General features: G+C 44.4%; 1 protein-coding gene across 3 annotated transcripts in view, besides 4 other annotated features; it reads left to right on the top strand.

Moving 5' to 3' along the window:
* The window catches only part of DGKG (diacylglycerol kinase gamma), a 215,034-nt gene that overhangs the window by 125,180 nt on the left and 66,804 nt on the right, over positions 1–23,050 (top strand). The gene's annotated exons all lie outside the window — the stretch shown is intronic.
* Positions 11,345–11,394: a silencer, noted in NCBI's record as "silent region_14981". NCBI's record gives its function as "represses an Ori minimal core promoter by ATAC-STARR-seq in GM12878 lymphoblastoid cells {active_cell/tissue: GM12878}" and the evidence as "EXISTENCE:reporter gene assay evidence [ECO:0000049][PMID:35858748]".
* Positions 14,656–15,569: an enhancer, noted in NCBI's record as "H3K4me1 hESC enhancer chr3:185939275-185940188 (GRCh37/hg19 assembly coordinates)". NCBI's record gives its function as "activates a minimal SCP1, AML or CMV promoter by ChIP-STARR-seq in primed H9 embryonic stem cells {active_cell/tissue: H9 hESC(primed)}" and the evidence as "EXISTENCE:reporter gene assay evidence [ECO:0000049][PMID:30033119]".
* Positions 16,328–16,397: an enhancer, noted in NCBI's record as "active region_20932". NCBI's record gives its function as "activates an Ori minimal core promoter by ATAC-STARR-seq in GM12878 lymphoblastoid cells {active_cell/tissue: GM12878}" and the evidence as "EXISTENCE:reporter gene assay evidence [ECO:0000049][PMID:35858748]".
* Positions 20,933–21,649: an enhancer, noted in NCBI's record as "NANOG-H3K4me1 hESC enhancer chr3:185933195-185933911 (GRCh37/hg19 assembly coordinates)". NCBI's record gives its function as "activates a minimal SCP1, AML or CMV promoter by ChIP-STARR-seq in naive H9 embryonic stem cells {active_cell/tissue: H9 hESC(naive)}" and the evidence as "EXISTENCE:reporter gene assay evidence [ECO:0000049][PMID:30033119]".

Genomic DNA, 23,050 nt, shown 5'->3' with positions numbered 1-23,050 from the left:
CAAAAACCAGCCCACCATGAAGTTTCCAGATTAAGTCTCCATGAAGGGTTTTGCATATGAAATCTATACATAAAAGCCACCTAATTCTAATGTCACTGTCAGTGAGTGTCTAGAAAGAGAAGTCTAACTGTGGAATGTTTTCATTGTTGGTTAGAAACTCAGAGTACTTGCGGAATGTGTTATTCTAAACCTGTTGAGTGTATCCACTTGACCGCGTCTCTCAGCAGTTGAGGCTGAAGCAAGTTATTTCCTGTTAGGCCCTTCAGAGGGACCGAAGCAGTGCTTCATTCCTACTAGAAGCTGACCACCTTTCTCAAAAGCCCTTGACTAATTAACAGGTTCTGAAATATTAGCTTTCTTGGAGCAGGTCCCATGGAGTCACTGATGAGGGGCTCCCCAGAAGCCCTAATGTAGCTTGAGTTTTTAAGAGGTTGGAAATATACCTTGTAAATAACTAAGCACTTAGTAACTATTTATAGAAGAAGGCAGCAGGGTATAGAGTAAGTTGGCATCAAAACTTGGCTTTGCCGCTTATTAGCTATGTGACCTTGGGCAAGTTAATCTTCTTAATCCTTTGCTGCCTCTTTTGAAAATCTTGCAATGTTGCTATAAGTATTTAGTGACATAATACCTAAGTTCATAGTACACAGGAGGTTCGCAATAAACATTTGTTGTTGAATATCATTGAATAACAAGCATTGCCTTAAATTGACGATAAAGTATTGACAATAAAAGGGTTGTTTTTAATGGAGTGACAAATTGGATTCAGTTATCACAGAATCAATGCTCCATTGACATGGCCTTTAACCTGAAAAGTTGGAGGACAACTAAAAGTTGGAGGAGACCCCAGCAGTGATGCATTGAATCTGCCCAAATCCTTCTCCTGGGGGTGGGAATATGGCACCACTTTGGTTGGTTTGGATTCTACAGGACAGAAGCTCTAGAGGAAATCCCCTTCACTGGCTCCATGGAAGTCCAAGAGGCAGAGGTTGGGGATCTGGACACTAGAGATTCGAAGTCCAGTGCCAAATCCAGGCTAGCAGGATCAAGGGAGGGGGTCATAGACCCCAGGTGAAATGGCCTCAGGAGGAACAGGGCAGGAGTGAGTAAAGGAGAGTGGCAGGACAGATTCCATGTGCTCCCTGGGTGCTTCTGGCTTACTAGCAGGGGTCATGGACTGCATGGCAGGTAGGCAAGTGGCCCTGTGGTCAGATGCTGGGGATGTGACTAACCCTCCCTCACGGATACTTCTTTCCCCTCACCCACCACGTACCTCTCCCCAACCCTGACCTCAGATAAAGACAGAGATGTTCTGTGGGGAACAAAATAGAAACCGACAAAGCTCAAGTCACACAGTTCTGAAAATGAAAGGAAGGGCTTCCTCTCTTGAATACCTGCAGTATGCTCTGCCGTCACAAGCATAAAATATATCATGATTTACATAAGATTTTCTTCTTATATCTAAAAATGAAACCCTTCTAAGTTATTCTTTCCTGGCGCCCTGTGAGGTAGCCCACTATTACAACCCAGATGTGTGACTTTCTCAAGGCATAAAGGTTCAACAGCAGCAAATATAGCAAAGTTAAAAATCCTTGCCATCAAAGTCTTCATTCTGTGCCCTGAATTAGGCTTTGCCTCTCTTCATCTAATATTTGGCACCTCAAAAGAGACCTGCTGTAGGTAGCCAGAGGTCCAGACTGTCTGCACCTGCTTCCCTCAATATAGCAAACTATTTTTCTTAAATATCTGGGATTCAGAAAAGCCCCAAATGAAATTAATTGTGGGATTTTCTGTGTTTTTTCTTATTCCTGTAGGTATTTATAAAGAAATACAAACCTTATGTTTTGTGCTCAAGAACCTTTGATTTTCAAGTCAATTCTGACAGAGCAACTGACTTAATTACTTGAATGTTTATATACTAAGCCACAAAAATGTTTTGTCCCCCACCCTCCCCACCTCTCTTTGGGAGAGATGCAGAGAGTAAAATGAATGAAATATGGGTTCATGTTTTTTTCATCAGGTGCTCAACGTTACACAAATGCAGAAGTCCAGGGTTTTTTGTTGTTGTTGTTGGATTGTTTATAGTTAACTCTTGATTATTCGCAGAAAAAAGGGAGCAACCACGTGGATCATCTACAGTGGTGGATGATCAAAGATTTTGGGAGTCTGTTATTAATATTTGTATGCAGTTCTCCCTGCCCTAACATTCGTAGTATTTTAAATAATATGATGAAATCACACTGACTCTTAACAATCCTTTCATTTTCCTCCTGGGTCCCTAGTCCGCGTGGGAACAGACAGCACAACCTCTCAGACTGTTACACAGCAGCAGCCTGTGGCGTCTCAAGCCTCCCTACAAGGTTACCCACTGGCCAGAACCGTTTCTTTCTGTAGCTTAATGGGCTTTTTCTTGTAGCCCCTGCTAGGCTAGAACAGGAAAGGTCTTATTCATGTCAACAAAGAGTAGAATCGGTTTGTGATCATATCAGAAGGAACTTGAAAGCACGCTATGTTTTCAAGACTATAGGCCAGATAATCCCAAAGTTATCAGTATTTACTGACTGATTGATTTCTAGAAATATTTCCATCAAAGAACTCAAGATGTAATGTGTAATCAGTTCACAAGAGTTGAGGTTAGCACGATAACCTTATGGAAGAAAATCAAAGCACACAAATTCAAAGTAAGGTAGGAACTGGCTGGATCCTAACGTGAGTGTTGACAGTCTGGATGCTTTCCAGAAGGGAGAGGTTGAGAAGGTGCTGGAACTTTAGATGTCTTCGAGCAAAAGGCTGAATCTGGAATTGTTTCACCCAAAGAAGAGAAGCCTTAGAGAGAAGTGATCATTGGCCTCAAATATTTAAAAGGCTTTTCGTATAAAGCAGGAATTGTGTTATTTTGCACAATTAATCAATGAAAAGGTGACTGGAATGCAAGACTGGGTTAAGCCCCAAATAGGACATTAATTCTACTGGTCAGAGCCATCCTCAAGTGCAGTGAGCTATTGGAGAAGGTGATGAGTTTTCCTATTTTACGTTCAAGCCCATGCTGGCAATGATTTTGGAAGCAAGTGCCCAGTAGGAAAGGTTCCATTATCATACAACCTGGATTCAAATCCTGGAGTTCTCATTAACCACTATGTGTGACCTTGACCAAGTTACTCTCCCTGAACCTCAGTCGGCTCACCTGTAAAACTGAGGTATAATATTATGTGAGTTTCCTGTTGTTGCTGTCATGAACTGCCACAAACTTAGTGGCTTAAAACAACACTACTGGCTGGGCGTGGTGGCTCACGCCTGTAATCCCAGCACTTTGGGAGGCCGAGGCAGGCGGATCACGAGGTCAGGAGATCGAGACTATCCTGGCTGACACGGTGAAACCCCATCTCTACTAAAAATACGAAAACAAAATTAGCCAGGCGTGGTGGTGGGCGCCTGTAGTCCCAGCTACTCGGGAGGCTGAGGCAGGAGAATGGCGTGAACCCGGGAGGCGGAGCTTGCAGTGAGCCGAGATCGCGCCACTGCAGTCCAGCCTGGGCGACAGAGCGAGACTCCGTCTCAAAAAACAACAACAACAACGACAAAAACGGCACTGCTGTGTTACAGTTCTGGAGGTTGGAAGTCTGAAATAGGTGTCACCGGGCTAAAATCAAGGTGCCATCAGGGCTACATTCCTTTCTGGAGAGTCTGGGGGAAAAGCTGTTTCCTTGCCTTTTCCAGGTGTCACCACTCTTTGGCTCCTGGCCCCCTCCCATTGTTGAAGCCAGCAGTGGCCAGTCGAGTCCTTCTCATATGGCGTCCCCCTGACATTCTTTCTCCTGCCTCCCTCTTCCACTTATGAGAACGCTGATTGCACTGAACCCACCCAGAAAATTCAGGATCCTCTCCCCATCTCAAGGTCAATTGACTGGCAACTTAAACTCTATCTGCAACCTTAATTCCCCCTTCGCCCCTTTGCCACGTAACCTAACATACTCACAGGCTCTGGGGATCAGAACGTGGACATCTTCAGGGCATTGTTCCACCTACTAGCCTCATAGGCTTATTTCGAGGATCTATTGGAACAATGCATTTAAAGTGTCTATTACAGAGTCGGGCACATCAGTGGTAGCTATTATGATTGTTATTAATATTCTTATTACAAAGACAGATCCTACATCAGATAATAACCATGTTAGATGATTCAGAAGCCATTAAGACTCTGAATTTTGGTGATTCTCTAATATAGGCAGATAAACATCTATTTAATATTAAATAGGGTGTAAGTCATCAATGTAGAAATATATGGAATTATTTTTCTCATCATTTATCTTGTTTAAACGTTTTTCAATAAAATATCAATACATTTATCATGTAATTAAATAATACATCAGACAGTGTTATTATATAGCACATTGCAATATCATTATAAATAATTTGGAAAGTTCAGAAAAGTTAAAGTAAGAGAAAAAAAACCAATCACTCATATTCCCATCATGGAGAAACACAATATTGCCATTTTGGTGCATTACAGCAGTTAACTTGATAGATATACCTTAAAATATTTGTGATAATGTGTTTTTATAAAGCTATACATATCATTTTTAAACTAATTTTTCTTTATATAAGTCATTCAGGCTCATTGTAAAAAAAATCATATTTTGCATCCCCTCCTCCAAGAAATAAACACTCAGCGCTATAACATATTTTCTTTCAGCATTTTAATTGCACAATTTTATTGACTTGAGATCATGCTCTAGACACTAGTTTAAAACATTAACATAGTAGCATTTATAGGTTATGAAGGGAAGGTGATAGAAAGGAGCTGAATGGAGTGAGTTCATCTGCTGTAGGAGTTTTATTGGCCTTTTCCAATTAAAAAGTCCCAACGCTTTTGTTCAGTCATTGAGTGTTTTAAAGATACCATTACCCAAGTCCCTTCACAATTGAAATAACTATTTCAGATGTTATGCAGCTCTACTATCGTGCAGGGTAAATGAAAAATATTTTATCCTTTCAACACGATTCTGGGTCCTGTCTATAGTTTTGCTGTATCTCAAAAGAACCAGTTTGTGTTTTATTTGACCACCAGAGATAGCAAGAGTTGCTGTCTGAACTATGCAGTAGTATAGTTTTTGTTTTTATTTTTGTTTTTTTGAGACGGAGTCTCTCTCTCTGTCACCCAGGCTGGAGTCAGTGGCTCTATCTCGGCTCACTGACATGGCCGCCTTCAGGGTTCAAGCAATTCTCCTGCCTCAGCCTCCTGATTAGCTGGGATTACAGGTGCGCGCCACCATGCCCAGCTAATTTTTTTGTATTTTTAGTAGAGAGCGGGTTTCACCATGTTGGCCAGGCTGGTCTCAAACTCCTGACCTCAGTTGATCCAACCACCTAGGCTTCCCAAAGTGCTGGGATTACAGGCGTGAGTGACCACACCTGGCCTAGTATAGTTTTTAAAGCATGAATAACCATGAGCTCATTTATTAAAGTGTTTAGAAAGGTGGTTTTCCCAATGTAATCAGTCCTGCTCCAACCCATACCAACAATAGTAGCCATCATTTATTGAGAGCTTTCAAGAATCTCATGTACATTATTTTTAAGTGGCACAACTCACCAAGTGTAAGTATTATTGATCCATCTTACAGATGAGAAAAGTGAGGCTCATAGAGATGATGCAACTTGCTCAAGACCACACTAGTTACTAGAGAAGCTACGATTCACACCTAGGCCTGTCCACTCCACATCTCCTCTTAGCCTGCTACAATTCCCTGCCTCTCCATGTGCCCAGTTTTGTGCCCCATGACCAAAGATGCACCCAAAAAAAGACTAGAAAAGAGCCATAGATATGATTAAAGGGCCCATGAGAAAACCACAAGTTATCCAAAATCACTTTTCCTGGAGAGAAACAGAGAACGTACTGGGAATGGGCCTCAAGTGTGTGAAGGATTCACAACAGGAAATAGTGACTGCACCTCCTTACTCTTCATCTCAGTTCAGGAAAGAATGAGAGAGGGAAAAAATGTGCTCTAAAAGTAAAGAATTCTCTTTTGGATGGGAGCAGGAATCTTCTGGCCTGGAGACATATTAAAGACTGAAATGAGTTATTGAGAGTAGTTTTGGAATCTCTTGCAAAGGCTTCCAAAAACAGAGAGTTGCATTCATCCAGGATGATAAACACACCACCTTCTCTGAGCCCAGCAGTGTACTCATTGCACCCACCAGGTCCCCACCCAGATGGGAGCTTTCTGCCTCCCACTCCACAACTGACCAAGCTGCACAGTTTAATTGCACAATTTTATTTACTTGTGAGACCGCTTGCCTCCTGTGCTCCTCACTTCCCAGTTGGTCCCCAAGATGTTCCATCCTCAGGATTTCCTCAGCCACCCTCTGGCCCATCTCGATGCCCTTCCCATTCAGGCCCACCCTGCCTGGAGCTGCCCATTAGTCTCCCTGGGACACGTTTGTGGTCCTGTTGCTGCTGCACAAGCACCTACTTCCACCACCCCCCTCCCACGTTACATCCCATGCTTGCATTTAGCGCCCTTTATAACATTCTCCTCCTCAAACACCAGCCTCACCTTCTTGCTTGCTTGCTCTGTTACTCTCACCTTCCCCACACAGCTGCTCTCATTCCCTCAATCCCTCAACCTAGATGACATCTCCTCTTGTGACCTAGTCATCACTTGTTTCAAAATGCAGCACAGAATATTCTGAACGAACCTACTTAACCAACCCATTTGGTACTCCACTTTCTCTTACACTCCATCTCCAATGTTTTGTTGTTGTTGTTGTTTTGTTTGTTTGTTTGTTTGTTTGTTTTTGAGACGGAGTCTCGCTCTGTTGCCCAGGCTGGAGTGCAGTGGCGTGATCTCGGCTCACTGCAGCCTCCACCTCCTGGGTTCAAGCAATGCTCCTGCCTCAGCCTCCCAAGTAGCTGGGACTACAGGCGCCCGCCACCACACCCGGCTAATTTTTTTATTTTTAGTAGAGACGGGATTTCACCATGTTGGCCAGGATGGTCTTGATCTCCTGACCTCGTGATCCGCCCGCCTCGGCCTCCCAAAGTGCTGAGATTACAGGCGTGAGCCACCGCGCCCAGCCCATCTCCAGTGTTTTTGACACATTCTGTCCCACTTTGCTGCACCCTCTTTGTCTTCTATAATTCATTGTTTGGGATGCTAAACTACTGTTATGTCTCCAACTTGTTCATAAGCTTTCTCACTCGGAGAGGAGTCTGACTCTCTTCAGGATCCACTGAACTAAATCCAGAAGGGTGATGCTAAGCATGTTTCTTCATTCAGCCAAAATGAGTTGAGCATCTATTTGTGTTAGCATCATGCTAGGTCTGAGAGGAACGATGGAGCACCACAGCCCCTGCTTTTCAGGAGTTCGTGGGTATAACTGGGAAGATGAGCACATACAGAAGTTAATACCAACTATATCAGTGTCCTGGGCTGCCATAACAAAGCACCACAGCTGGGTGGTTTAGAACAGCAGAAATGTATTCGCTCGTAGCTCTAAAAGCTGCATGTCTGGCCTGGCGCAGTGGCTCATGCCTGTAATCCCAGCACTTTGGGAGGCAGAGGCAGGCGGATCACTTGAGGTCAGGTGTTCAAGACCAGCCTGGCCAACATGGTGAAACCCCGTCTCTACTAAAAACACAAAAATTAGCCGGGCATGGTGGCGGGTGGGCACCTGTAATCCCAGCTACTTGGGAGGCTGAGGCATGCGAATCACTTGAACCCGGGAGGCGGAGGTTGCAGTGAGCCGAGATCATGCCACTGCACTCCAGCCTGGGTGACAGAATGAGACTCCATCTAAAAAAAAAAAAAAGCTACAAGTCTGAAGGATGTCAGCAGGGTTGATTCCTTCCCCAGGCTCTGAGAGAGAATGATTTTCTGTGCCTCTCTCCTTGCTTCTAGAGGTTGCCGCCAGTCTGACATCCTTAGCTTGTAGATGTATCAGTCACGCAAATCTTTGCCTCCATCATCACACGGCCTTCTCCCTCTGTATCTGTGTCTCTGTTCAAATCTCCTTCTTCTTATAAGGACGTCAGTCACTGGATTGGACCCACCCTAACCCGGTATAACCTCATTTTAACTTGATGACATCTGCGAAGACCCTATTTCCAAATAAGGTCACATTCACAGGTATAGAGAGTGAGGACTTTAGCATATCATTTTTGGGGGGGACACAATTCAGCCCACAGCATCAGTCTTCCCCCAGACCTTCACACAAGAAGGAAATACAATGTAATATGGTAGCTTTGTTTTCACGAAGGGACGTGAACAATGAGGGTGTTGTGAGAGACTAGGATGAAACTTCAGGAGGAAGGTAACATTTGCATGAGCGCTGGAGACAGAAATGGAAATTCGCCAAGGAGAGAAGCAACCGGGGAAATGCTAGGAGGAGGGAAGCAGTATGGGAGAAGGGCTGAAGTGTGAGAGGACACTGGACATGAGCGGAGAGGCCGGAGGTTCCCGGGTGGAGTGAAAAGGCGGGGGGAGCAGTTGCAGCAGATCTCGCTGGTCTGCACCAGAGTTTGCATCTTATCCTAGGAGTGGGTGAGTGGACAGTGAGGGTATCCATCAGTAAGTGCTTTTTGAACAGATTAATGAAGGAATGGCTTACCTTTCAAAGTATTTGTGGAGCAAAAATTTCAGGGCTCCTAGAAACACTGGGACTTTAAAATACTGAACCTTGCTGAAGTGTTAGAATAGTACAGACAGAGTGTTAGTCAGAAAGACCCAGAAAAGAGGCAATCCCCAGGGGGAGAGAGAAGGAAGAGGGGCATCAGGAGAGAGGAGAAGGAGCCAACTCTGCTGCCCTGGAGGAGTCAGTACACATCAGGGCTGGAAAAACTATGGAAACCAACGACAGAGCTTTCTTATAAACCTTGAGCTTTAAAGCATGCTATTTGGTTGTGAAGTAGAAATCCATATTGAAAAAAAGAATCCGCATGTCATTCTCTCTTCCTCACCACCACAATTTCAGATGCCTTCAGGGAGAGGGCAACTTAGGTGGCTTTTAAAGTTAGTTTAACATGTCTCTTTGTTTGTTTTTAGCTCCAGAAAAAATAATGTCAGAGTTTGTTGGCCTTCTATTGTACTTTACTAATTAAAACTTCAGAAAATTGTTGCCCTTTTGCATAAGAGTATTTTTGGAAAATTATTGCCCTTTTGCATAAGGGTATTTTGGTGATACAACAGAGTCTGTATCTGTATTTACGGCTGATGTGATTAGCATATTCAGTCGCCCATATTTTCTTTAAACTTTTCATAATTGCATGCGTTTTATTATGAAGAAATTGAAAAACAAGGTGAAAAGGTAATAGATGTTCTCAAAAAAGATTCAAGTGATTAATTTTAACTCCCCACTTAAATCAACATTTACTAAAAAACGTTGTAATGCACTTATTATTGGGCCAAAGGAAATTTCAAAAGCAAGCTTTCACTGTACTTATCAGGAAACGCAGTAACTCTCTTCTGTGAAATAATTTACTTATTTCACAGTAAATTATTTCACAGAAACCCTGAACAAATGGCTTTACAACTCTGCTATGCCAGGTCGTGGTCACCCTCATGTGAAATACAGACACAAATTCCTGAGTTTCATTGCATTCAGCATCAAAAGAACTGAGTTTCAGCCCTTACTCTGCCTCTTACTTACTGTGTGCCATTGGGAAAGTTACTCACTTCTCTGATTCCTAATGTTCTGATGTGTAAAATGGAAATTACAACTGCCTGACAAGGTGCCTGTGAGAATTAGAGTAGATAAATCAATGGATTTGAAGTTTATCAGGTATTGGTATGATGCTGTATTGATTACTACAGGGATTTGTAAGGAGAACATGCAGCAGTATATGAGAATCCATTGTAGAATCTCTAATTTAAAGGCATGCTGTCATGATTCCTGTCTGTAATAGTAACTTATAGACTCCTAGCTTTGGATGGGACTTTAGATTTCAACCCCCTTCTCAGTGTAAGCATCCCCTCTATAAACGCTCCTCCAAAGGGGGTCATCAAATCTCTACTTTGAAGACTGTAGATCTCTATTATGAAGATTGTAGGAGTGTTTAAATTTGAAGGGGTTAGGAGGTGCTTACCACTTCATATTTTACTAAGAAGGCATTTTCCCAATCTTCTAATGCTCTTCAATGAAAGAGGGGCTCTTCTCACTTCAAGAATGTACTTATACCCTCAAATTACTAACACAGCAGGGAATTACGTAATTGCTGAATATTCATGTTTATTGAACCTACACTTAGATTGAAATTCTTCACTCTCTAGTAACAAGATGTTTTCTATTCTGTTAAATGGAGTGTCCCTTTAATCCTGAAAGTGGGCCTTTTTGGAGAGCATTCCAAACTGCCAATCAAGCCAAGTACCCTACCTTGCCTTTGAACTCAATAAGCTGAAAGCGGGTCTGTAATCTCCAGTTTTGGGTTACCACAGAGTAAGAGGGAGTGAGAAAGTCCTGGGTAAATGAAAACTGCAAACTGTTGATCTCAGTGAAACTTTTATTGGAGCTCTCAACAGAGTGTTGTAATTAGTCAGGTTCCCCCTTTCCTCTTCTGTACCACCTTGCCCCTGAACTTGGGTGGGGAGAGGGGAAGCGGCTGCTCATAATCACGGTTTCTGTATATGCAGGGTTGGGGTGGAGATAACACCACGGGATGCCCTCTGATTTGAGCTGACGTTCTGGTTCATGCCTTGTACACATTTCCCCCTCTGGCCCCATCTCCACAACTGGTAAAAATTGCACTAAAGAAAAATGAAATGGTTAACAGCTGATGGGTTAGAAAAGAAGAAATTTGAAGGATTGGATTATCTACTTACTAAAGAATTTGTCCCTTAATAATCAAGCCTTGGTGGTATAATCTTAAAATTCACAATAATCATGGTTTGTACAAAGTGGTGAGTTCAGGGAAAAGGTAAATGTGAGCTTAGGCTACTTTTCTAGTAGTTAGAGTCAAGTTCATTTCTCAGTGTTCCATGATTGTGGAATAGTTGATCTATCTACCAGGTTGTGCCCTAACTTCCAAACACAGAGCAACTGCAATATTATTTCCCAGAAGAGGTAGATTTGGATGATATTTTATTTCTGTGCATGTGATCTTTGCAAATGCCAATATGATTCATCTCTCACCCTGCTGCAGCTGGTCAGCCCTTGAAATCAGACATGTATTAGGACTCATAACCAAAGACACCAGCAGCTCAGACAGGAAGGATCTGAGGAAGAAAGTAGCGGAGACACTTTTGAAGCATCGTCCAGGGAAATTCCCAGGGGAAAACTACAGCGGTCTATATGAGGGGTCACAAATCCAAACGCATGCAGAGGCAGGCAGTTCATGTAAATGAGAGAAGTGGGTAGATGTGAGGCTTTAGGGAGTGGTGAGAACTCTAGCCTGAGTGCTGTGTAAAGGGAGCAGCCAGTTCTCAGTGGCCGTCGATCATTGCCAGGTTGGAAAGCAATCCAGTATTAACAGATCTGATTTCTCAAGAGAAGCTGGGCTTCAGGTGTGTATGTAAAATTTTCCAATTTTAAACACCACCATGCAAGCCAAATAAACACATTGCCAGGCCCCATAAGAGCCTTGGCCCTCCAACTTGTCACGTTGATGTCCAGGAAATATAACCTTAGGGTTGTGATGGGGGCCAATTATTTATTTTTCTTGCTTGACCTTGGTCACAAATTATTGGTGCTATAAATGTGAACTGATCTCCTGCCAAAGGAGAGAATGAATGGGCTTGAGGAGAATTTTAAAGCATTGACAAAGGGTTCCTAGATGTCATTAAAAAAAATGATTCAGGGCCAGGCGCAATGGCTCATGCCTGTAATCCCTACACTTTGCGAAGCTGAGAGGGGAGAATTGTTTCAGCCCAGGATTTTGGAGCTACAGGGAACTATTAATATAATCGTACCACTTGCACTCCAGCCTGGGCAATGGAGTGAGACCCTGTCTCAAAAAAAATAAGTAAATAAAATACATTAAAAAAAAAAAGAAAGAAATGATTCAGAAAGAAAAGGGACTCAGGGGGACAAAGAGAACATAAAGAGAAGTCACTCTGATTAATAAATAGATATGGAAATAAAGAGGAAATTCCCAATTCCTGTTTGGAGAAAAAATTAAAAGTATAGTCTCTGCACAAGGAGAATAAATTTGGACCTTCTGGAGAAGGGAGACACAGCAGCTAACAGACTTACCATGAGGTTCAACTCCTCATGAGCCTGCAGAGGTAGCTACCCAGATTGTCTTCTTCCAGCATGTATTAAAGTATGTAGCATTGGTTAAAATGCCTTCCACAGGATGTTAAAAAGAAATTCACAAGAAGATTGGGGGGCGGGGGGGTGTCAATCATTGAATACACTTGGAAAATTGAGTCAAACATAATTCTTTTCTGTTTGATATTGTAGAGCTTTTAATGTAGATTCTAACCTGCTGAGATCATGCAAAAGCAAGAGAAAGTATTTCATTCCCAAATTTACCTGACCACAGAATCCCCTTACCCCAGAGCCTCTTGAGACCAATATTTTACCGAATTCATTGGTGAAAGCCCCTGCATTCGAGTGCACATACTCATATAACTTACAGACTCTTTCTCCTGTCTGCCTGCGGGCATGGTGGCAAATGACACATTTGGAGGAATCCTGGTTAGTATCTCTAGTGACCTTTGATGTCTTGGGTAGCAAGCTAAGGGACATGGGCAAAGGCAATGCTTTAGTCTCTTCCTCAGCCGTGAGTCATAATTTTAGAAGAAACAGGCACATATGGGGAACACAGAGCTGCTCTGTAGCTGATCTGAGAACGACTGTTCTTCTGGACCATGGATTTTGATGCTGGAATAAGAGGACCCTGGCAAGGAATTGGGAGCTTATCACATAAACCAAGCGGAATATTTTTGGCCAGATACTTGAGGACCAAACAGAAGAGCTTTAAAATGAGATTTAAGTAGGATAAAGTAGAGTGTTCAAATTAAACTCTAAAATCACAGCCCACAGAAGGGCAGCAGGTGCAAGCTACAAATAAGAGGCGTGGCTAAGGTGGTGCCAAGCAGCTCTCCCAAGGAACTGGCTGGGAGGACCACTGGGGCCACACCTACAGCTGGGACAAGTTTGCCAACCACACAGTGAGAGGGGCAAACTGAATGATTCGTATTCCTTAGGGGAGAGGAGCACGACCTTAGAGATTGCAGTCAGAGACATGGTGGGGCAGGACACACAGCTGCACCACCAGGCCAGGTGAGGATGACAAGTTCACATAAATTGCAGTCTCTGAAATGGGTGGCAGGGATGTATACACAAGAATAAGAAGTCACAAACGTCAGAGTGGAAGCAAAGTAGAGAGCATATGGATGAGATTTTCAAAAGGATGAAATAGAAAGGATTTTGCTGGCAGGGTCTACCGCAGTCTTCTCAGGCAGAGCGAGGCTCTGGCTCATGCTTTCCTATTTAAGATTTTTTAAACTGGCACAGGAAGAAGATGGAATAGGGAAGAGAAGGGGGGTATTTATCCAGGCATCTGCCCTATCGAGTGCATTTTTGACTTGCCTTGCTAACAATTTCATGATGGGAAAGGTAAGGGAAACAAGGAGGGAGCGACTTACCGTGGACTTAATTCTAGACAAGATGCCTCTAACCAGCCGATGGTGGGGAAGGCACAGGAAACATAGGCAGAAATAACCAGACCATCCTAGAGTTTTAGGATTGCAAAAGGAAGACACAGGATGCATACTTCAGTGTGTGCTCTCTGCTACCCTTTCCACTTCTGCTGCTTCTCACTCTCCCTCTGGCGTCTCCATTCCCCTCCTAAGTAGAACTCCAGCCCAGACTTCAGGGTCACCGCCGGGGATGTAGGGTAGAGGAGTCTCCAGGTTTCTTTCCCAGGAAGTTGAGGAAAGCAAAGATCCCCAATCCCAATTCAGCGGAAAAGATGTGCTCCCTGTACTTTAAGTTGGAACTCAGAATCATGAGGCCACGAAGCCAGTTTTATATACAACAATGGAGTTCTACTGTGCCTTTATTGGAGTGTATATCATGAGACATATATATATATATATATATATAGTATACATACACGTGTGTGTATTCTTTTGTTTGTTTGTTTGTTTGTTTTCCTGAGACAGAGTCTCACTCTGTCGCCCAGGCTGGAGTGCAGTGGCCACCTCTGCCTCCCAGGTTCAAGCAATTCTCCTGCCTCAGCCTCCCAAGCAGCTCAGAATACATGCACCCGCCACCACGCCTGGCTAATTTTTGTATTTTTAGTAGAGATGGGGTGTCACCGTATTGGCCAGGCTGGTCTTGAACTCCCAGACCTCATGATCCGCCCGCCTCAGCCTCCCAAATTGCTGGGTTTACAGGCGTGACCCACTGCGCCTGGCCTAATTTTTGTATTTTTAGTAGAGACAGGGTGTCACCATGTTGGCCAGGCTGGTCTCAAACTCCTGACCTCAAGTGATCCGCCCGCCTCAGTCTCCCAAAGTGCTGGGATTACAGGCGTGAGCCACCGCACCCGACCATGTGTGTGTATTCTTAATTAATATTGCCAGCAACCCCTGCAAGGTAGGTCATATTGTGTCAATTCAAAAATAGAGAAACTAAGAGACAGACTAAATGATTTGCCCAAGGTCACATGGCAGGTAAGTGACTGAACTGTGGCTTGAACCCAGGCCTTTCTGCCTTCCCACCAGAACTCCTTCAGCTCCAGTAAGCTCTCTCTAAAACGAGACATTGTAGTTTGGGTACCTAATGGGTTAATTGGCTCTTGTGGGTTAGCCTGGGAACCCAACCTCAACATCACATTGTTTCTATGGGGAAATGTGCTCAGAGTGACAAACAACTGGCTTAACCAAGGAACTTTTGTAACCCGACCTATCATAAAGCAGGCACTGCCTCGTGTTCAGAAAGACTGGCTGGGGAGCGAGAGGGGAGAACAGGATCAGCCAGCCTGCATCCCCTCAGACTCTGTGATCCCGTTCCAGTCTAGCTGTAGGTTTGCCAAGGAACAACCATCTCACACGTCTACAAATAGCCACCATAGTACCTACCGCAGGGGGTAGACGTGAGGATCAAAAGAGCGCGACCCTTGGGTGCATAAAGCAGCCAGTGCAGGTCAGACCCACGGTCAACATTTATGAAGTGGGAAGTGAGATTCCTCTCAACAGCTGGGGGCCGGCAGAGCTCAGCTGGCTCCCTCAGGACCCACCCGGCGGTCACGGTAGTGTGAGGGTGTGGACCTGCTTCCAGGGTTTGCCTCTGCTCCTCCAGACAGTTCCACCTTTTAGTCTTGGTTGATCAGGACCCAGGAAGTCACCTTCCACAGCGAGAGGCTCAGCTCCAGCAGGACAGCCACCTTCTCTAAGCCTTCAAGGCTCAGTTTCTAACACGAGGCCTCACCCACCTGTATCTTCACTGTCCCCACCGCCTTCAGATACCAGTTCCCAGGGCTGATGGATGTGTAAATGCTGGAAAGCACAGCTAAGGAATCACTACAGAACCTCAGGAGTGAGCATTCCTGTCCGCCTTTTCCCCGTCCCTCCAGGCAGGGATTTCTTTTTGTCCCAGTATTTGACTTTGCTCTCCGTTAACTGCCAAGAGCAAGCTTATTCCATGCCCTCCACCCTCCGCCAAATCAGCCTGAAGGGGATTTTCTTTCCACGAATAACTCTTCAAAGGGAGAAAGGATTGCTAAGAAGCAGCCAAACTGTGAGGGTTTTTTCTTTCTTTCTTTTTTCTTTTTGGATGAGGGAAAGGAGCTATTTTCTCTTGGCAAGGACAGATACTAACTGGAAAAACACCCTGGAGACCCAGGCCATCAGGAAAGGAAAACCCTGACAACATGGTCCTGGCCTTGCCTGCCCCTCAGCATTCTCCCCTGAGGGCCACCCCCAAAGTGGTGCCTTTCACAGCACAGTGGCCATTCTCCAGTCAGGCTGCTGGGCCTTTGGAGAGACTCTCTGGCCTCAGAGGGGCAGTGTCTGCGAGCACATTTGGTAACAGTGGATCATGAGTCTCAGGGAAGCCTTCTTGTTGCGGCCTGTGTGTGTGCCCGCACGTGCACACGTGTGTCCTTGTGTGCTGCACTGGGAAAGGATCCGATTTCAGACTTTGGCAATCTTCGTGCTTGGAGTCCTGCCCTTAGGAGGAGATACTGTCAGGTGCCAGACAGAATTCGGAGATCCTATCAATGGAGAATGTGTCCTTGGTCCGCAGAAACACACTGTCTTATATGGAAGAGAAGGGTCACTGTTCAGAGGCAGTAGATTCTTAGGGGCCCAGAATTACCCTTGAAGGGGTACAGAGGCTGCTCTAAATATGAGGCTTATGGGTTTGGCCCTTTGTTACTCTGGGACAAGAGTGGAGACTGGAGACCAATGGGGAGGCCCAGATCATGGACTCTGCTAAAGAGTGTCAGGGTCCCAGCCAACCTCAAGCTGGGATCCTACAGCCATACCGGTGGCGCATGTGGTAGATGTGAGTAAACCCAGCTCACAGGCATGAATGAGAATGACTCACAGCTTTGCAGTCACTAGCTCTGGTGACTTCGGTTGACTTTTCCATTTCTCTCAGGTGCCTCTGGGGCATAGCAACAGGAGCCAGGGAGAGTAAACCAGTAAGGAGTATGGGCTGGAAGACGGGGTTTGTATTCCAGCTCCATACCTCCCAGCTGCATCACCAAGAACTGATCTCGGTTTCCTAAGCTGTACCGTGAGAAGGCTGCCATGGCTTAGAAGAGAACCACCATGGAGCCCTGGTATAGAGTAGTAATTTTACATGTACCCTTTTACTATGGAATAGTGCACTATTTTTATTCATTCTCCCACTGCCTCCCACCATGGGTGCCATATTGAGTAAGACTTTTTTCAGCCATAAAGCTCTTCTAAGTAATCATTTGTTTCCCCATTTTGATTATTCAGGATTCAATTGCCATTCAATCCGTGTCTCTGGTTACCAAGCAGTAACTGATATAACTGATTTAATTCCATTGCACATCAAAAAAATTATAGTTTAACCCACTAGTTAGCCTATGCTGTCTTTATTATGATTAAATGCACAAATACTATTTTACATTAAGACATATTGACAGCAGCTCCTGGACTCCATTTACACTTTGGAAGAACTCTTTGGAACCTGTGATCCCCTGGCTATAATAAGTCCCTGAACCCTGAAGACCTCTTAGTTGCAAACAGTATGTCATCTGTGATTTTACAGTTAATTTCTCACACATGGAAATGACTCAAGAAGTGTCTTCAGAGGTTATTAAGAGGATTCCATAGTTATACAATAAAATACATCCTACTCAAGTTTCTCCCTCCTTCCTCAGCCTTTTTTTTTCTGAGCCCCTTCTTGAGATCTCCCCTTTCCTGTTCTCCATCTTTCTGCCCACTCTTCCTGGTCTCTGGCCTCCAGTCTTCCCATCATTCACCACCCTAGATTTTTCTGAGTGCCATGAACACCAGTCTTGTCCCAAGTATGGAAACAAGCCAGGGAATACCTCGCGCCTTGAAGCTGAAACACATCGAGCCAACACAAATCTGTTGGCAGGAACAGCAGGCACAAGAGTCACATTCAGAGTACAAAAACAGCTATTTATAAAGCCTCCTTCCTGATTTTTGGGTGTTCACTTTCCCTTGAACCAAAGGGGCCACTGCCCCCTCTTGGAAAAGATGATTCCATGCACAGCTCGGTGCCTGAGGATCACTGCGTGCCTGTTCTGATGAGCAGTGAGAGCTGGGGACAGCATGCAGCGTGGATTAGATGTGGTGACACACTCTCTGATGGGCCAAGGCAGCTGGGTGTGCGGGTGACACAGATGGCCTCTGCAGCACCTGTGAGGTAACAGTCAGGGGCCCCTTATAGGACTTGACATCCTGGCCTCAGAGCAGACCCCACCTGCCTTTGCTTTTCTTTTTTTTTTTTTTTTTTTTAACTCTTGATGTAAACTTCGGTTAACATAATCACTAAGCTTCCAAAGGTATTTGAGATTCAAGTAATGTAAAATGTTAACAGGTAAAGTACTGTCAATATTATTACTAATATTTATCAATTATAATTCAACTCTTGTTGCATTTGGCCGTTCTGCATTTCTGTTATACCTGATTTGCTAAATTATTATTTACCTTAGTAATCCAATGCTAGTCTATTATCTTCAGTAGTGGTAGCAATAACACCGCTAATAACCCAGCAAATCCCAAATGGGATTGAGATCATTTGTTTTATATTTTAATTGAGATGAACCTGATGAAAATTTATAATTCATATACAGAAATGTCCTGTTGGCTAGCTACAGTTTTCCCAAATGTGTAGTTTTTTGGCTTAGGTTCTTAAAAACTTGAATTAGTTGCCAATTCCAATAATCAGGAGATTTTACATGAAAATATATTTCTGGATTCTCTTTCAAAAATGTCAGTTCTGACAATACTTGGGCCCACACTCCTACACAGCAGCAGTTGTAGAACACGTGAGTCCTCCCATCCTGTTCTGAATTGTGTCATCTCAAGTTGTCTGGGGAGCTTGGAGAAACCTTGGAAAGCAGTTGGTCCGAGTCTTTCATTTTTTTTTTTTTTTTTTTTTTTTCAGACGGAGTCTCGCTCTGTCGCCAGGCTGGAGTGCAGTGGCGCGATCTCGGCTCATTGCAACCTCCAACTCCCTGGTTCAAGAGATTCTCCTGCCTCAGCTTCCCGAGTAGCTGGGATTACAGTCATGCACCACCACGCCCAGCTAATTTTTTGTATTTTTAGTAGAGACAGGGTTTCACCATGTTAGCCAGGATGGTCTCGATCTCCTGACCTCATGATCCACCCGCCTCAGCCTCCCAAAGTGCTGGGATTACAGGTGTGAGCCACTGTGCCCGGCCCCAAGCCCTTCATTTTTAAGATGAGGAATCTGAGGCCTGGTGTTGCTGAGTGACTCTCATGAAGTCACATGCTGGTGTGTTTGATAATGGGGTCTGGGAGGCAGCTCTGCCCGCTGGTGCAGCACAGTCTCCACTAAATCATTCTGCCCTCCCCCCATGCCATACAGAACACCATCTTGTGGGTAGCATCTGTTTCACCAGGCCTCCCAATCTAATGCTGACACCCAAGGCCTAACTAACTATGTGAGTTATGAGTCACTCAGAGAACCTGATTATCAAAGTCCAAACCACAAAGAGGAATACCTTCACTTCAAGGGCTTCTATTTCTAGAAATAACTGTAGTGTTCTCTGTGTAGACTTCTAAGCCCAAATAAATGTTTTCATGTTTTGACAACTTCAAAAGCCCAATGCCCTTAAAACTTCCTTGATTCTCAGGAAAGGGTCCCCAGAAGCTCAGGGTGGCATAGGAAGCTGAGTGCGTAGCCTCTGCTGGTAAAGTGAATGGCCAGCAGCTAGCTGGGTTTCACTGTGGACATCCTTGAAAACAGGCTATTCATAGCTGTCAGGATGATGGATTTCAGCCCTAAATTGCTGACAAACATAAAAGAACATTTTTAGTTAGTCTCATTTTTTCTCTCATCTGTCTAATGAAAAGATTCAACTAGCTAGTGTGCAATTGATGTTATTTTCTTATAAGCCAGGGGGCAATTAAGAAAACCCAGAAATAGAGTTGAGCCATGGTGTCACTGTTTGTATTTGCCATTTCTCCATGTGGCTGAGAGTCCCTTGGAGCACACAGGAGGATCTTCTGCCTCAAGAATGGGTTCATCTGGATAGTTCAGAGCCTGACAATGAACCTAGGAGTTTCATGGAACTGGAAATCAGCCTCAGAACAGCTGGTTAAGGATTAGTCATCTCCAGCTGAAAGGTGATTGTAAGAGGGGAAAAAAAAATGGTGGGCCAAAGACTACTCAGGAAGAGAGATGCAGAAAAAGCATTCCAGCAGCCATGAAAACATCGTTAGTTTTATTTTCTTCAAAAAATATGGGCCACCTACGATAGACTCCCCACAGTAGACCCACCCTTACCCCTGCAGCCTGTGGGGAATGCGTCTTCTTCCAGTGATTGTGTCTCCTAGCAACAAGGAAGAACAGCTACTGAGCACTTACTATGCATTAAACACCTGCTTGGTACTTTGCATTTGCCACATAAGCCTCACAACTTTGTGAGTAGAAAATAATGTTCCCATTTTGTAGAAGAAGTGAAGGTTCAAATAATTTAAATAACTTGCCCAGCCAGTGAGTGGCAAAGCCAGTCATGAACCCTAGCCTCTCAGCTCTCAGATGCCATATTCTTGTACAATAGAAGATGAAACAGACAAAAGCTCAGTGCCACATTCTGCAGCAACGGTCCTCCAACAAGGGCTAAGAGTAAAGTAGGAGGGGAGATAGCTTCAAAAGAGAAGAAGGAACATTGCACTCAGGCTCTCTGGTAGTCAGGGAGAGTGGGGGCTGCATCTCCCAGCTCAAATTGTAGGGTACCACGTGCCTATAGGCTTTTCCTGAAGGCTTTGGAAATGGGTGGTGGTGGTGGTGTGCTGGTGTTGACAAAGGAAAAGGAAGACGAGGCAGAGGAGAATTCACTTCCATCTGTGAATGTCCTTATTTGTAGCAATAAGGAAATCTTAGAGTAACCTACCTGTAAGCTTCTTCTGAGAACTGAAGGAGATGGTGTGTGTAAAATGTTTAGCAGAGTGCAAAACCAAAGGGCCATGGGAATAGAATGCATTCACTTCTAGCCAAAAAGTGCCTGAGTTAAAAGAGGAGAAATAGAAGCATTTCCATTTTGAACATATCTAAAAGCCACGTCCCTTGTGGGTCAGAGGTTCAATCTTAGGTCTTGGTGATGCTATTAAAAGTGTATAAGCTCGGCCGGGTGCGGTGGCCTGCAATCCCAATACTTTGAGAGGCCAAGGTGGATGGATTACATAAGGCCAGGAGTTCAAGACCAGCCCGGCCAACATGGTGAAACCCCATCTCTACTAAAAATACAAAATACTAGCCGGGAGTGGTGGCGCATGCCTGTAATCCCAGCTACTCAGGAGGCTGAGGCATGAGAATCGCTTGAACCGGGGAGGCGGAGGTTGCAGTGAGCCAAGATTGTACCACTGTACTCCAGCCTGGGAGGCAGAATGAGACTCTGCCCCACCCCCCAAATAATGGGGGTTTGGGGGGTGGGGCAGGGGTCTTGCTTGTCTTATTCATCACTTATCTCCAAGCCCTACACAGCACCTGGCCCATAGTAGGGGTCCATAAATGTTTAATGGATGGATGGATGGATGAATGAAAAGATTAACCAAAAACAAAAGTGCTGTCTTTCAGTTACAAAGACGACTGCCACTGGGAAATCAATATCCTGTGCCCCTCTCTCAGGAAATGGCACCTGTCATCTATCACGCTGTCTAAGACAAAAACTTGGCTATCACTGTGACCCCTCTTTTTTGTTCCGTAAGCTAAAATAACTCCTAAATTTTAGCTTGTGAGTCTCCCCCACTCTTCTCTTCTAATGCTATTGTCATGACCCTTGTCCAGGCCCTTCCCAGTTATCTCCTGGATTTCTACACCACCTCCAATCTATTTTCCAAACTTCCAGTCTGTACCTCTCTTTCCAGTCCCTTCTCCACACATGGAACAGAATGATCTTTAAAAAACCTAAGTCTGATTAGGTCACTACCATCACCCCATCCCCCTCCCCAGCCACTTGAGGATGGTCCATGACTCCCTATAGAATTTTTTTTTTTTTTTTTTTTTGGAGATGGGGGTCTCACTCTATCACCCAGGCTGGAGTGCAGTGGTGCATTCTCAGCTCACTGCATCCTCCGCCTCCCGGGTTCAAGCAATTCTCCCACCTCAGCTTCCCAAGCCGCTGGGATTACCAGTGCCCGCCACCATACCTGGCTCATTTTTGCATTTTTAGTAGAGATGGGGTTTCACCATGTTGGCCAGGCGGGTCTCGAACTCCTGACCTCAGGTGATCCTCCTGCCTCTGCCTCCCAAAGCGCTGGGATGACAGGCGTGAGCCGTCGCGCCCCACCAGATTTTAAGATAAAGCACAAACCCCTGAGTGTGGCGTGCCCACCCTTCACAGTCTTGCTCCTGTCTGCCTCCAGCCTTACCTAGCCAAGCCCTACCTTGAGTTCTGTGTCCCCTCCAGCAAGACTATTCTCTCTCTTGCCTGTCCCATGGCCTAGCTTCTTTCTTTGCCTGAAATGCTCTTTCTCCACCTTCCCTGTTTGCCTTCTACATCCTTCTAAGAATTGGGTGTCCCTCCAGCTATGAACTCTGGTGCCTGGTTCTTGGCCAACCACACTGTGGTCTGCTTCCTGTCTGTCTTTTCCAGATGTCCAGGAATGCTATTTTGTTCTTTGTTGTACCAGGCACACCTTCTCTAGTCCCTGGCACAATGAATGTCTGTTGAATTGATGAATACTTTGTCTCACACCAAACATGCACTTTCTCCGAAGTATATTAGCAATTAGCATCGCTTTGGCCAATTGTGTGACCAGTCAAGATAATTAATCAAGGATTAGGGCATGGTATGACTCTGGAAAAATCTATTAAGGACATATGGGGAGCATATTTTTTTCACCAAAAATCAAGACACATAATTTAATAAATATGATCACATTTTTTCTTGCCCAGAAAAATATTAATATATAATATCTATAGCTACACATCCTTATCTGTCATTTTTGCCTCACTATATTATCCAAATATGCCAGCTCAAGACACTGAAATAATAATAGCTAATAAGTAAGTAGCTGGCATTCTTGATGAGCCTGCTATACAGCAATCCTATGTGAAGTGCTTTGCTGTTATCTCATTTAACTTTTCAACTACCTCTTGAAGCAGATATTTTTCTTATCTCTATTTTAGAGATGAGGAAACTGAGGCTTAAAAACATTAAATCACTTGTCAAAGGTTACACAGCCAGCAATGAATGAGTAGTCCGTTTGATCTTCTCAGTTATTCTGCGATGCTGACCTAACCGTGACCTCTTAACCTTTATTAGCTCATCAGAAGAGCTACTACTGGGCAAAAATAGCTGTGGCTTCCGGAAACTTTTATTGAAACTCTAAATCTCCTGGCAATAACTTTCAAAAGTCATGATTCAGGCCAGCAGTGATATTTGAAAATGGAATCACAAGCAAGTCTCCTG

The sequence above is a fragment of the Homo sapiens genome, chromosome 3, assembly GCF_000001405.40.
Source record: "Homo sapiens chromosome 3, GRCh38.p14 Primary Assembly".
NCBI lineage: Eukaryota > Metazoa > Chordata > Mammalia > Primates > Hominidae > Homo > Homo sapiens.
Note: the sequence above shows the minus strand (reverse complement) of the source record. Positions and strands in the feature narration are given on the sequence as shown.